At 50.1% G+C, this 12,869-nt stretch overlaps 1 protein-coding gene across 3 annotated transcripts in view, besides 6 other annotated features; it reads right to left on the reverse strand.

Annotated features, from left to right (window-relative positions):
- The window catches only part of ADAMTS4 (ADAM metallopeptidase with thrombospondin type 1 motif 4), a 14,753-nt gene continuing 1,884 nt past the window's right edge, over window positions 1-12,869 (reverse strand). Inside the window, exons 2-9 of one of the 3 annotated variants that reach the window (NM_005099.6) lie at window positions 12,256-12,579; window positions 11,870-12,002; window positions 11,164-11,334; window positions 9,634-9,920; window positions 9,339-9,525; window positions 8,912-9,087; window positions 7,764-7,939; window positions 1-7,263 (exon numbers count right to left, since the gene is read on the reverse strand). In NM_005099.6, coding sequence (NP_005090.3) covers window positions 6,837-7,263; window positions 7,764-7,939; window positions 8,912-9,087; window positions 9,339-9,525; window positions 9,634-9,920; window positions 11,164-11,334; window positions 11,870-12,002; window positions 12,256-12,579 — 1,881 coding nt within the window. In that variant the 3' untranslated portion in view covers window positions 1-6,836. Of the gene's footprint in view, window positions 7,264-7,763; window positions 7,940-8,911; window positions 9,088-9,338; window positions 9,526-9,633; window positions 9,921-11,163; window positions 11,335-11,869; window positions 12,003-12,255; window positions 12,580-12,869 lie in introns of those variants that run through there. The other 2 variants (NM_001320336.3, XM_047434904.1) reach the window with 2 other exon arrangements.
- Window positions 448-647: an enhancer, noted in NCBI's record as "active region_1982". NCBI's record gives its function as "activates an Ori minimal core promoter by ATAC-STARR-seq in GM12878 lymphoblastoid cells {active_cell/tissue: GM12878}" and the evidence as "EXISTENCE:reporter gene assay evidence [ECO:0000049][PMID:35858748]".
- Window positions 1,418-1,467: an enhancer, noted in NCBI's record as "active region_1983". NCBI's record gives its function as "activates an Ori minimal core promoter by ATAC-STARR-seq in GM12878 lymphoblastoid cells {active_cell/tissue: GM12878}" and the evidence as "EXISTENCE:reporter gene assay evidence [ECO:0000049][PMID:35858748]".
- Window positions 8,637-9,450: an enhancer, noted in NCBI's record as "H3K27ac-H3K4me1 hESC enhancer chr1:161162728-161163541 (GRCh37/hg19 assembly coordinates)". NCBI's record gives its function as "activates a minimal SCP1, AML or CMV promoter by ChIP-STARR-seq in primed H9 embryonic stem cells {active_cell/tissue: H9 hESC(primed)}" and the evidence as "EXISTENCE:reporter gene assay evidence [ECO:0000049][PMID:30033119]".
- Window positions 10,919-10,968: a silencer, noted in NCBI's record as "silent region_1474". NCBI's record gives its function as "represses an Ori minimal core promoter by ATAC-STARR-seq in GM12878 lymphoblastoid cells {active_cell/tissue: GM12878}" and the evidence as "EXISTENCE:reporter gene assay evidence [ECO:0000049][PMID:35858748]".
- Window positions 11,339-11,408: an enhancer, noted in NCBI's record as "active region_1984". NCBI's record gives its function as "activates an Ori minimal core promoter by ATAC-STARR-seq in GM12878 lymphoblastoid cells {active_cell/tissue: GM12878}" and the evidence as "EXISTENCE:reporter gene assay evidence [ECO:0000049][PMID:35858748]".
- Window positions 12,587-12,869: part of an enhancer, noted in NCBI's record as "H3K27ac-H3K4me1 hESC enhancer chr1:161166678-161167583 (GRCh37/hg19 assembly coordinates)", that runs on past the window's edge. NCBI's record gives its function as "activates a minimal SCP1, AML or CMV promoter by ChIP-STARR-seq in primed H9 embryonic stem cells {active_cell/tissue: H9 hESC(primed)}" and the evidence as "EXISTENCE:reporter gene assay evidence [ECO:0000049][PMID:30033119]".

Below are 12,869 nucleotides of genomic sequence, written 5' to 3' on the forward strand. Positions count from 1 at the left end.
TAAGGAAAGGAGAACTGGCCTTTATTGACCACTTACTAAAAGCCAGACACAGTGCCAAACATTTACATCATCATATTCTTAAGTCTGGACCTCTCTATAAGGCAGGTAATAGTACAAACGTTTTGTAGGTAAGGAAACTGAGGTTTACAGAGATCAAGTAATTAAGGTTGCATCATTACAGGTAAGTAAGTAGCAAGGCTTAGATTCAATTTGACTCCAAAAATCCATGTCCTTTCCACATGCTGTGGAATGTTTACAATGTTTACAACCCATTGGCTTATTTATTGAACAAATAAATGGGATAAACAGTCAATTCTCAATGCACGATTAGGTCAATTAATATCTTTTACTCTTCAGATCCATTTTCAGGTGAAAATTCTTACATTTTCCGCTCCCTACTACTTATTTGCATCTATATTATCAACAGAATGTGTTGGCCAGGCACCCTGGCTCACACCTGTAATCCCAGCACTTTGGGAGGCCGAGGCAGGCAGATCACTTGAGCCCGGGAGTTCAAGACCAGCCTGGGCAACATGGAAAACCCCGTCTCTATACTAAAAATACAAAAAATTAGCTGGGCATGGTGGTGCATACCTGTAATCCCAGCTACTTGGCAGGCTGAGGCAGGAGAATCACTTGAACCTGGGAGGTGGAGGTTGCAGTGAGCCGAGATCACGCCATTGCACTCTAGCCTGGGTGACAGAATGAGAATCTGTCTTAAGAAAAAAAAGAAGAAAAAGAAAGGCAGGGGGGGAGGGGGGAGGGATAGCATTAGGAGATATACCTAATGCTAAATGATGAGTTAATGGGTGCAGCACACCAGCATGGCACATGTATACATATGTAACTAACCTGCACATTGTGCACATGTACCCTAAAACTTAAAGTATAATAATAATAAAATAAATTTTAAAAAAAAGAGAGAATGTGCTAGTGTGTCTCTGTGAAGTTGGATGTGTGTTATGTCAATGTGTCACTGTTGGTGTGGGTGTATGGTGCCTGTTTGTTGTGCCAAGACTGTGAGGGATACTTAATCTACTTCCTCCCCTCCCTTTCCTTCCTAATGCTACTTAAGTACCCTGGGTCTGTCCCCATGTAAGATCCTGCCTGGGGAAGTTGTTCAGTGTTGTTGCTCCCCCGCCTTCCCTGACCCCCCTCTTTCTGAGCATTTTTAGCACTCGTGGTTTCCTCCAGCTGTCATCTGGTTTCTCGTGGTGCCAATGATTTTGGCTTGGCCCCAGCAACAGTCAATGGGGAAGGTACTCAATTGGTTCAGAAACATCCTCTCAGCCAATAAAATGTTAATACATTGAAATCCACTTTCTTCTCCCTTCCTCCCCCACAAGCCCTGACCAATGAGATGCTAGTTTTGTCACTTACTGCCAATCTGGTATTTTAGAAAACAAAATACTGTAATACTGTATGAAGATTACAGAAATGAGACTAGAGATGGAAGAGAAGTGTAAATGCCGATTCCACAGCACACTCCAGGAACCCTGGCTGTCCCACCTCCATTACAAAAATAGTGGCTGGACAAATGTCCAGATTTCCTCTGTTTGAACCACAGAAGCAGAGAATCTCAGGGGCAGAAGGGACTTTAGGAAATTGGCCCAACTTATTGCTTCAACTTCCTCCCCCACCTCAAACACATACTCATGCACAACACTTGCCATCTCATAAAATGGTTGTCCAAACTCTTCTTGAACTTCTCTAGGGACAGGGTTCTAATCCCTTGTCATTCAATGCCTTTTCTTTTTCCATTTCCTCTTTTCATCTCCAGGACCAGATACTTGAATTGTTTCAGTGCCTCCTTACTTCCTGTTATTACTGTTTCTGTTCCTCCTTATATATCTACACCCCAGCTCAGGCCCACGAGGGCAATAAGTAGGCAGATGGGAAACAGAGCTCACTGTGGCTCTTACAGGGAGATATGTGCCCCCCCACAATCCCATCCCTAGCAAGAACTTGTTGGACTCCTATTAGGTAAAGCCTACCTACAATCTGGGTCTTGGAGGTGTGGTAAGGCAGAGACCATTCCAGAAAAGGGTCAGGCCTTGCCTGGGATTGAGGGCTGAGATGCCCATCACTTCTCTTCGATGAGCTAGCTCTCTCTGCCCCTCTTTCACTCTAGCTCCTGCTTACTTACCCAATCACAGAGGTGGCCCCTAAGCTCAGTCTCATTTTCAGAAAAACTTACTTATGCCAGTGAGAACCCTACTTGGTGAGCGAAGGGCTTTCTCTTAAAATAACAGGCAGAAAAGTGATTTAAAAGTGAATCTACACCTGTAGTCCAAGCTACTTAGGAGGCTGAGGTGGGAGGATTACTCGAGCCCAGGAGTTCAAGGCTGTAGTAAGTTATGATGGTGCCACTGCACTCCAACCTGAGCCACAGAGCGAGACTGTCTCAAAAGAAAAGGCCAGGCATGGTGGTTCACACTGGTCATCCCAACACTTTGGGAGATCGAGGTGGGAAGATCCCTTGAGGCCAGGAGTTCAAGACCAGCCTGGGCAATATGATAAGACCTCGTCTCAACCAAAAAAAAAAGTAAATTAGCTGGGTGTGGTAGCTCGTGCCTGTAGTCCTAGGTACTCAGGAGGTTGAGGTGGGAGGGTTGCTTGAGCCTGAGAGTTCAAGGCTGCAGTGAGCCAAGATCACACCACTGTACTCCTGCCTGGTCAACAAAGGGAGACCCTATCTCAAAAAAAAAAGTGTATCTCCATGAACATTAAAGGAAAGTGAGAAGGGCTATCATGATGACCTGTTCTCCAGGGCCCAGCCCAAGGTAGCCCTCCATAACCCTCATAGTCCATTCAGTTCAGGGCTCATTAGGCTCTTATCTTCTAGTCCCTTTTACTGTCCCATTGCTTCTGTTTGCGGGGAAGGTGGAGTGGGAGCAGTATACAACCTCCCCTGCCCAGAATGCAGTGTGAACCCCTTTAGGACAGTCGTATATATTGTTTGTATTTGTACCTTACATCTACTTATCACAGAACTCTGCTCATTGTACCATCAACTCATAGTATCAAGGTCCATAAACATACTATCTGTGGTCTCATTTTGCAAACTAGATGAAACGAGTAAAGATCACTATTGTCTTGTCTCCATCTTCTTCAGCCTGGTTAGTAGGAGGACCACAGGAAGGGCCAGGGGGCCAAGCCTAGCAGGGAGAACCGTGTTTACTGGAGAGAAGAGAGTGTGGGCAGTCTTTTCTCATTGCTGCAGAGGAAGCAGGCGCTGTGCTGGCTGGTGTAGAGTACAGGGTGCTGTATAAGGCACTGCCTGGTACAGAACTTGATTAGCAAAGCCCAGATCCAGTAAGCATAGCACATATAACCACTACAACCTCCATGGCCTGCCTCAACCCCATAGTCCCAGCTTCACATTCCAAGCAGTATTTGGCATCCCAGCTAGGGGCTGCTATGGCAGAGTGAAGTGCCTTTGGTTCCCCCATTCTTCACTCTTCCACCTCAACCTCAGGGTCTTCTTTACCTATAGTTTCTCCCACAACCCCACATCCAGTACCTTCCCCAATCCCTAGCAGTCCTGCGTCTGCCTCTCAAAACTCCAAATTCTTGCAGGGTCTACCTACCACCCTTGCCCATCCCTGTTCCATCCATGACACATAGAGGACTGCCCAAGTTCTTTTTTTTTTTTTTTTTTTTTTTGAGATGGAGTCTCACTCTATCGCCCAGACTGGAGTGCAATGGCGCAATTTCGGCTCACTGCAACCTCCACCTCCCAGGTTCAAGCGATCCTCCTGCCTCAGCCTCATGAGTAGCTGGGACTATAGGCGCTTGCCACCACACCTGGCTAATTTTTTGTATTTTTTTTTTAGTAGAGATGGGGTTTCACCATGTTGGCCTGGCTGGTTTTGAACCTCAGCCTCCCAAAGTGCTGAGATTACAGGTGTGAGCCACCATGCCTGGCCCTTTTTTTTTTTTTTTTTTTTTTTTTGAGTTGGTGTTTTGGTCTCTCACCCAGGCTGGAGTATAGTGGCATGATTGTAGCTCACCATAGCCTCGAAATCGTGGGCTCAAGCAGTCCTCCTATTTTAGCCTCCCAAGTAGCTGGGACTACAGGTGCCACCACGCCCGGCTAATTTTTCAATCTTTTTTTTTTTTGGTAGAGATGGAATCTTTCTATGTTGCCCAGGTTGGTCCCAACCTCCTGGCCTCAAGCAATCCTCCTGCCAAAGTACTGGGATTACAGGTGTGAACCATCTCATCCAGCCCAAAATTCTTTCTCAAGCAAAGGCGCCTTGCCCAGAGGGGAAAATGCAGATGTTTTATTCCCTCCCTCTCCTCAGGCATCAGGTATTCTGCCATTTTGAGGCACCTGGCTCCCTTACCTCAGATCCTTTTCCAGGTTATTCTTTTTGCCTTCTTGCCTATTTCCTGCCAAACCATATCCTGTTTTTGTTTTTGTTTTTGTATCGAGACGAGTCTCACTCTGTCTCCCAGGCTGGAGTGCAGTGGCGCAATCTCGACTCACTGTAAGCTCTGCCTCCCGGGTGCAAGTCATTCTCCTGCCTCAGTCTCCCAAGTAGCTGGGACTATAGGCACCTGTCACCATGCCCGGCTAATATATATATATATATATATATATATTTTGTATTTTTAGTAGACACGGGGTTTCACTGTGGTAGCCAGGATGGTCGGTCTCAATCTCCTGACCTCGTGATCCGCCCATTTCGGCCTCCCAAAGTGCTGGGATTACAGGCATGAGCCACCGTGCCCGATTGTTTTTGTTTTATGAAATTTTATTCTAATCTCACATCTTCTAGGCATTCTGCTGGGTTTACACTGGCAGATTCTGGAGACTCCGTTCCATCTTCAGGTAGTCATAGGGGTAACCTCTCACATGGCCATGACTATAACCTTTACTATTTTGAAAATATTCTAGCATTTGTTCCCAGAACAACTCTGTGGGAGTAGATACTGTTAGTCCCATATGAGCAATCTAAGGCTCAGCATCAGTGACTTACCCAACACCACCCAGCTAATAAGACGCCGAGCCCCAAATTGAATCCAGACCCGCTGGCTCCCACTCCAGTGCTCTTTCTACTGTTGTGAAACCCAGACCCCTCAACTATCACCCTTATTACTAAGCACTCATTTGTGTTGATGCAGTTGTTCTTGTTATTTGTTCTTGTTATCCTGCACCTTCATGTTCTTGTCAATTGTATTTGTAGCCACGTGCTTACTATGTTTCCTTCCTGTGATTGGGAACTTCCAGAGGTGAGGGATGGAATTTTCCTTTCTCTGTTGGTCCCTCAGAACCCAGGATAGGGGTCTGCCAACCAAAGGAACGGACCCTGAGGATAAAGGCAGGCACCATGGTTGTGGATCTTTGCCACCTTCAAGTGCATATGGAGAGTGGATGTGGACAGAAATTTGATAACAGTAAGTAACAGCAGCTGCTATTTGTTGAGCACTTACTAGATGCTGAGTGTTATGCTAGTTCTTTATTTACATTATTTAATCCTCACAACAAACTTCTAAGGGAGGTATTATTATTGGCAAATGAGAAATCTAATGCTCAGAGACATGGAGTTAGGATGCAACCACATCTGTCTGACTCCAAAAGGATCACATAAATAGTAGAATTCAATTTAAAAAATATGTACCGGGCGTGGTGGCTCACACCTGTAATCCCAGCACTTTGGGAGGCCGAGGCAGGTCGATTACCTGAGGTCAGGAGTTCAAGAGCAGCCTGGCCAACATGGTGAAACCCTGTCTCTACTAAAAATACAAAAATTAGTTGGGCGTGGCCAGGCACGGTGGCTCACGCCTGTAATCCCAGCACTTTGGGAGATGAAGGCGAGTGGATCACCTAAGGTCAGGAGTTCGAGACCAGCCTGGCCAACATGGTGAAACCCCGTCTCTACTAAAAATACAAAAATTAGCCGGGCGTGGTGGTAGGTGCCTATAATCTCAGCTACTCGGGAGGCTGAGGCAGGAGAATTGCTGGAACCCAGGTGGCGAAGGTTGCAGTGAGCTGAAATCATTCCAGCCCTGGTGACAATAGCGAGACTCTGTCTCCAAACAAAACAAAACAAAAATTAGCCGGGCGTGGTGGCAGGAGCCTGTAATCCCAGCTACTCAGGAGGCTGAGGCATGAGAATCACTTGAACCCGGGAGGCGGAGGATGCAGTGAGCCGAGATTGTGCCATTGCACTCCAGCCTGGGCGACAGAGCGAGATTCTGTCTCAAAAAAAAAAAAGAAAGAAAGAAAGAAAAAAAAAAAAAGATAATCCCTCACTCCCTGAAGGCCCACCCTACCCTTGACTTTTCTTTTCCCAAAAAATAAAATTCAGGAAGAGGAAAGCAGAACAGGTTGTACCTCATACATAAGCACACACACATTTTCACACACACACACACGCATACACACACCACTTATACCTATCACCACCACCCTGGATTTCCTAGCCCCAGGGTGAGGGCTATGAGGGGTCAGGGGTCAGGTTCCCCAGGACCCTAGTCCTTGTCCCCTTCCCTGGTGCTAAATAAAAGTGAATAAATACTAAATAAATACAACTGGGGCCCAGGCCCTCCCTGCCTTCCCCCTCCCTCCTGTGACCCGCAGGGCAGAGGGGGCAGTTTAGATGGAGGGCTGTCTGTCAGCCCCTTCCATCCACTAACCCATCACTGCCTCCCAGGGCAGGAAACCAGGGCAGGGCCAGCCTGCGCATTAGGGCAGAGAGGAGGGGCAGGTCTCACGCCCACAGCCCCTCCCCACTGAGTCTTAGCATGAGGCAGCAACAGAAGCTCTCTCTTTCTCCCAGCTAAGTCCGAGGCCCCGGTGCCCAGAAAGGGCAGCCGGGATAGTGAGGTTATTTCCTGCCCGCCCAGGGGCGCCGCCGAAGGATCTCCAGAATCTGTGCTCTTCGGTGCAGCCAGTCCTGGGGAGTGGGGCGTGGCGTTGAAGGGGTCGGCCGGGGCACGAAGAAGCTGTATCGGAGGCGTGTGTCCTGGGGGTTGCCAGCCACTAGGACTTGCAGTGTCAAAGGCTGGGCCAGTGGCCCATGGCCTGACAGTGTCTCTGAGGCTGCAGTGGCCCCGCTGTAGCGCAAGCTGACTGCCCCAGGCAGTACCACATCTGTGGGGGAGGGCATCAGCGTGTATTCACCATTGAGGGCATAGGAGCCATCTGGCAGCTTCAGGGCCAAGTAGATGCTCCGGTGGCCAGGGTTTCCCTGCTGCCGGACAAGAATGTGGGTGGCCCCCGCGGGGATAGTGACCACATTGTTGTATCCGTACCTGTGTGGAAGGAGTAGATGGGGAGCTCAGGATCACCTGAATCCCCTCAGCCTTCTGAGCTGTGCTTATGTGACTGTATGTGTGTACATGTGTGTAGATGGCTGTCACCCAATCCTATGTGAGCTGTTCGGTCTGGATCAGAGCTACATGCACATGTGCCCTACTGCCTCTTATCTCTGGACCTTTACACCCACTGCCCCCTTATTGAGTTGCCCTTCCAAGCCCCACTTCCTTGGTACCTGTCTAATTCCTACCCTCCTTCTGAGACTCAGCTCAGAGGTCACCTCCAAGGAAGCCTTCCCTGATGCCCACAAGGGCACTCACAACACCCTGTTCCAACTTCGGATGAATACATGGGAAACCGCACTGTAGCTGCCTACTCGTCTATCTCCCGCTAGACTGTGAGCTCTTTGAGAGTGGAAACAGTGCTGAGTTCCCCTCTGCATCACTAGGACCCAGAATGTCCAGGAAGGTAGAGGGAGGAATGATGGTGAAAGAACCTGAATTTCCTGAAGGAGCCTGACTGCTTGCTGCAACCAGAACCGTCCCCTCCGCACACCATGCACTTGTCAAACTTCTTCTTGGAGCCAATGATGCGATCACAGCCAGCATGGATGCATCGGCCCTGGACACAGACCGAGGAGCTGTCCGGGGAACAGGGGGTCCCATCTACCACCTGAGGAAAAGAGAAAGAACAATGCTGAAGGTTCCTCCTAAGTCAAAAGGGGTTGGTAAATCAAACGAGACCCATGTCCCATCAGGGAAGCAATGTTGTCGGAAAAGTTGGATGAAGTAGGGGATGTAGATGGGTGAGTGCCGGCCACCATGTGGGTGATAATCATAACAATAATAATTATTATCACATATAACATCTAGCCAGCATTTTCAGAGCACTGAGTATGAATCAGGCAGCATGCTAAGTGTTTTATAAACACAAATGTAAATCTCACCACCACTATTTGAGGTTTTTAGGGATGGAACGTTGAGGTTTAGAAAAGCTAAAGAACCTGTCCAAAAGCCACACAAATGGCAAGCAGAGGAGCCAAGATGGGAAGTGCAGTCTGTCTGGTCCCAGCACCAAGCCCTAAACCTTGATGGCACTGTCCCTAAATGGACGCTAGAGGGCAGCCAGCCTGTAGAAATTCTCAGGTTGGGGCGAAGGGAGCAAAATGCTGCTGGGGCTTGTTTTTCTTTGTGCAGCCTTCAACCCACCACCCTATCACAGAGAGGGAGTGTAGGGACTTCAGTCATCTCCAGGAGGCCTGTCCATTGAGGGACTGGCTGTCCAGGAGCTGAATGAAACCACCACTATAATTTGACAGAGGAGCCCATGGAAGAGGGGTGAAGGACTTGTCCCAAAGGCCACACATTCGATTCTCACCAAATGCAGCATTAGAAGATGGGGAGTCAGAGGAAAAGAAACCACGGGAAATAGGATAGGCTAGAGGGACCTATTGGCCACATATCTGGAGTCTGGGGCTCGTTTTCCTGATACCCATGTACAGATAAGTCTGAGTGGAATCCTGGACTGGGCTGGCGTGGCTGTAGGAACAGGGTTACTTTGGGTGATCTTTGTTATCAGAAAGCAGAGGGAGCACTGCGGGTGTGTGTGACCATAGACAGGGCCTGGGGGTGTCCTGACCCTCACCCGTGGCTCCAGCACATAGTAGTAGCCCAGTGCCTGGGCCTGGCAGGTGAGTTTGCACTGGTCCTGGGGGGCCACGCCTGTGTAGCGAGGAACCCAGTCCATGGGCCCTGGGAAGCTCTTGAAGAGGTCGGTGCGGTGGTTGTAGGCAGCACACTGCTCCTCGCGGAAGGTCAGGGCTGGAGGGGTAAAACAGTCAGAGCCCCTCCTTCCTTCCTCACATCACCCCACATCCCTCCACCCAACCCCTGAGAACTCTAGACAGCACAGCTCTGCTCTTCCCTGCAGACGGCCAAGGACAATTCCCAGAGGTTAAAGGCACTCCCCACAGCAGCAGGGGAATCAACACCCCCTTGGTCTTGCACTCAAGGGACAGTCCTTCCTGCTCTACTGTCCCCTCCCAAGGGCTCCCATCCCCCCTACTCCTCACCTGAGCCAGTTGGGCAGTCCTCAGTGTTGCAGGAGCGGAAGCGGGTACGGCGGCCCTCACAGTACTTGCCACCATTCCGGGGGACAGGCCTCGTGCAGTCTCGGGAGGAGAACTGGACACCACCCCCACAGGTCCGAGAGCAGTCACCCCATGGTCCCCAAGGACCCCAGCCACCAGCCTGTGGAATCTGCAAAGGCACAGAACGGAAGTGGGGCATAAGTGAACTCTCTCCTGGGCTTAAGGCCAGTCCCCACACCCCCGGGCCCTTTACCCCACCCCTGCCCTAGGATCTCACATTGAAGTCCTGGAGCTGGTCCATGTGGAGGCAGCGACCACCCATGCAGGCCTGTGCGGGCCCGCAGGGTGTGCCATCGGCCCAGGGCGAGTGTTTGGTCTGGCACATGGCATGGCCATTGAGGTGGCCAGAGCACCAGAGGGCAGCACAGGGCGGCGGCAGCTGTGGACAATGGCGTGAGTCGGGCCCGAAGGTCAGCTGGCACTGGCGGTCAGCATCATAGTCCTTGCCAGGGAAAGTCACAGGCAGATGCAATGGAGCCTCTGGTTTGTCTAAGAGACAGTGCCCTGGGAAGGGGGTTGGGGCACAAAGTCAGCAACGGGCTGAGGGGAGCATTCAGGATTGCCAGCAGAAAGCTTAGGCTCCCTGGGGCCTGATGGAGCCTAGAAAAACAATCCTAGGACTATAAGAGGATTTAAATTTTTGTTATTTATAATTTTTATTTTAATTACTTACTTTTTTTTTTTTTTCCTGAGACAGAGTCTTGCTCTGTCGCTCAGGCTGCAGTACAGTGGCATGATCATGGCTCACTACAGCCTCAAACTTCTGGGCTCAAGCAAACTTCCTGCCTTGGGCTCCTGAGTAGCTGGGATTACAGGCATGTGCCATGTCCAGCTAATTTTTTGGAATTTTTTGTAGTGATAAGGTCTTGCTATGTTGTCCAGGCTAATCTCAAACTCCTGGTCTCAAGCAATCCTCCCACCTTAGCCTCCCAAAGCATTGGGATTACAGGTGTAAGCCACTGTGCCTAGCCCTGTAAGAGGCTTTAATGGGCAGCTATAGTTTATTGGATGCTTATTATGAGATGAGCATTGGCTAAATGCTTGACCAGCACTATTTAATCATGGCAAATACCTATGAGATAGGTACCGCTATTATACTTATCTGACATATCAACTACAAACACAGAGAGGTGAAGTAACTTACAGTCACACATCTACACCTGCTTAAAGAACAGAATAAGAGGCCAGGCATGGTGGCTTAATGTCTGTAATCCCAGCACTTTGGAAGGCTGAGGTGGGAGGATTGCTTGAGCCTAGGAGTTCGAGACCAGCCTAGGCAACACAGTGAGACCACATCTGTATTTAAAACAAAACAAAACAAAACAAAACAGAGTAAGGATAGGAACTCAATTCTGCCTATTCTAACCAACTATAGAATATTTGAGTTTGCTTCTCATCAACATCTCTGCCTAGTGGCAGTCATCCTGCTATTCTTGCATACCTCACTGCGTGACAAGGTAATCACCTCCTTCATAGCCAGCCCATTCCAGTGGTGGACAGTTCTGGCCCTCAGAAAGTCAGTTCTAATTCTACTGAGCCAAAATTCGCCTCCTCTAGCTATGCTATTTATTCTGGGAGGAAGTGAGAACTACACAAAGACAGCAGCATTTCTCACCCCTTCCCACACTGCAGAGGAAGCACACTTGGGGGAGGCAATTTGGTCCATGCAGAATGCAGCGGAAGTGAGAGTGCCCTGGAGGACAGGAATTGAGTGCTACCCAGGGAAAGGTAAGTGCCATCTGCTTACCATAGCCATTGTCCAGGAAGTCAGTGATGAAGCGGGCACTGCAGGGGGACCAGGGCTCCTCAGGATCCACATGAGCCATCACAGGGGCCATGACATGGCGAGAGGTGCTCAAAGGCCCATTCAAACTGATGCATGGCTTGGAGTTGTCATGGAGCATGTTGAAGACATGACCTGTGGGAGCAAAGGCCCTGATAGGATCTGAGGGTCCCTTCCCCATGCCCTGAGGGACTCCATAATAAATCTGGCTGCAGCTGTGGATGATCAGATCCATTACCCACCTCACCCTGCCCCCAGTCCTTTCCTTTATGGTACTCTCAGGGCTCCCAGTATGTAGCCCCGTCTCTTTCTCTGTCTCCTCTTCCCCAAAATATACTCAGGGTCCCTCCCTACCCACTTTTCCTTATAGCCAACATTCCCAACTGTGACCCCACCCATTGTCTCTGACTCCCCCTCCAAATACACACACACAGACACACACACACACACACACACACACACAGAGGAGTTCACAGTAGTTTCGACCAACTAATTTATTTAATAGAAAAATGTAAATGTATGTCTACACCTGGAGCAGAGAGGAGTAATAGCCCTATACCTAGGCCTGGGGGAAGAATACCTTGGGACCCCCATTAACACTGTGGTGAACTTGCTACCCCCTCCCCCACCTTCTCCTCCCTAATACCTTTCTCATCCACCCCTACTTTACCCAGTTCATGAGCAGCAGTGAAGGCTGACTGGAGCCCATCATCCTCCACAATGGCACAGCTCCGAGCCGGGTCACAGACGGTGCCCACATCAGCCATACCCAGCGTGTCGCAAGTGGAGACTCCACACAGGTCCTGTGGAGAGGGATCATAGAAGGTGCATAGACAGCCAAGACACCTGGGTCCATTGGGTTGAGATCCAGATTCCCGGGGACCTGGGCACTGAGGACCCAGCACTGTCAGGGCCTAGGTAGCCACACATGGCAGTGTGGCTGGGGCAAGGCACCATGTCACACAACTCCAGGAACATCATTTGCATCATAGTCTATGTAGTGGCGCTTCTTAGAATTGTGCAGTGCATGGCCTGCGGTGCTGACTGGGGCCTCACCTGACGGGTAAACAGAATGGCTGTGTCAAAGTGGTCAGGGTCCGAGTCCTCAGGGGTGTTGAGGCCCCGCTGCCAGGCACAGAAGCTGCGCAGGGTCTGGGCAGCACTGGGCCCCACTTGGGGCCCCTCCTCGCCTGACCCCAGGATCACTAGCCGAGTCACCACCAAGCTGACAGGATTGCGGATGCTTGGGTGCTTGAAGGCCTTGGCTGCTGCTGCCATCACTGTTAGCAGGTAGCGCTTTAGCCCCGCACCGTGGAATGCGGCCATCTTGTCATCTGCCACCACCAGTGTCTCCACAAATCTACTCAGTGAAGCAAAGCGCTGTAGAGAAAAAGGGAGAGGAAGATCCTGAAATAGCCTCTCAGACCCATGGGTCGGTCGATTCTCCAATCCCTCACTTCCTGGGTCTGGAACTCAGCATAGTCAGCTGGGCCCCACACACCCCACGGGATTCCTGACTCCTGGCGGGTCTTGGTTGGGCCCTTCCCCCAACGCCAAATCTCAGGGCTTTTGTGGTAACTCTGAGGAGTCAGCAGCTGGTTCTAAGAAGGGGAGGAGAAGGGGACGCCACATCCCAGGGCTGCGGGAGCCCCAGAGGTGAAAGCAGCCTG

This window comes from Homo sapiens, chromosome 1, assembly GCF_000001405.40.
Source record: "Homo sapiens chromosome 1, GRCh38.p14 Primary Assembly".
Lineage (NCBI taxonomy): Eukaryota > Metazoa > Chordata > Mammalia > Primates > Hominidae > Homo > Homo sapiens.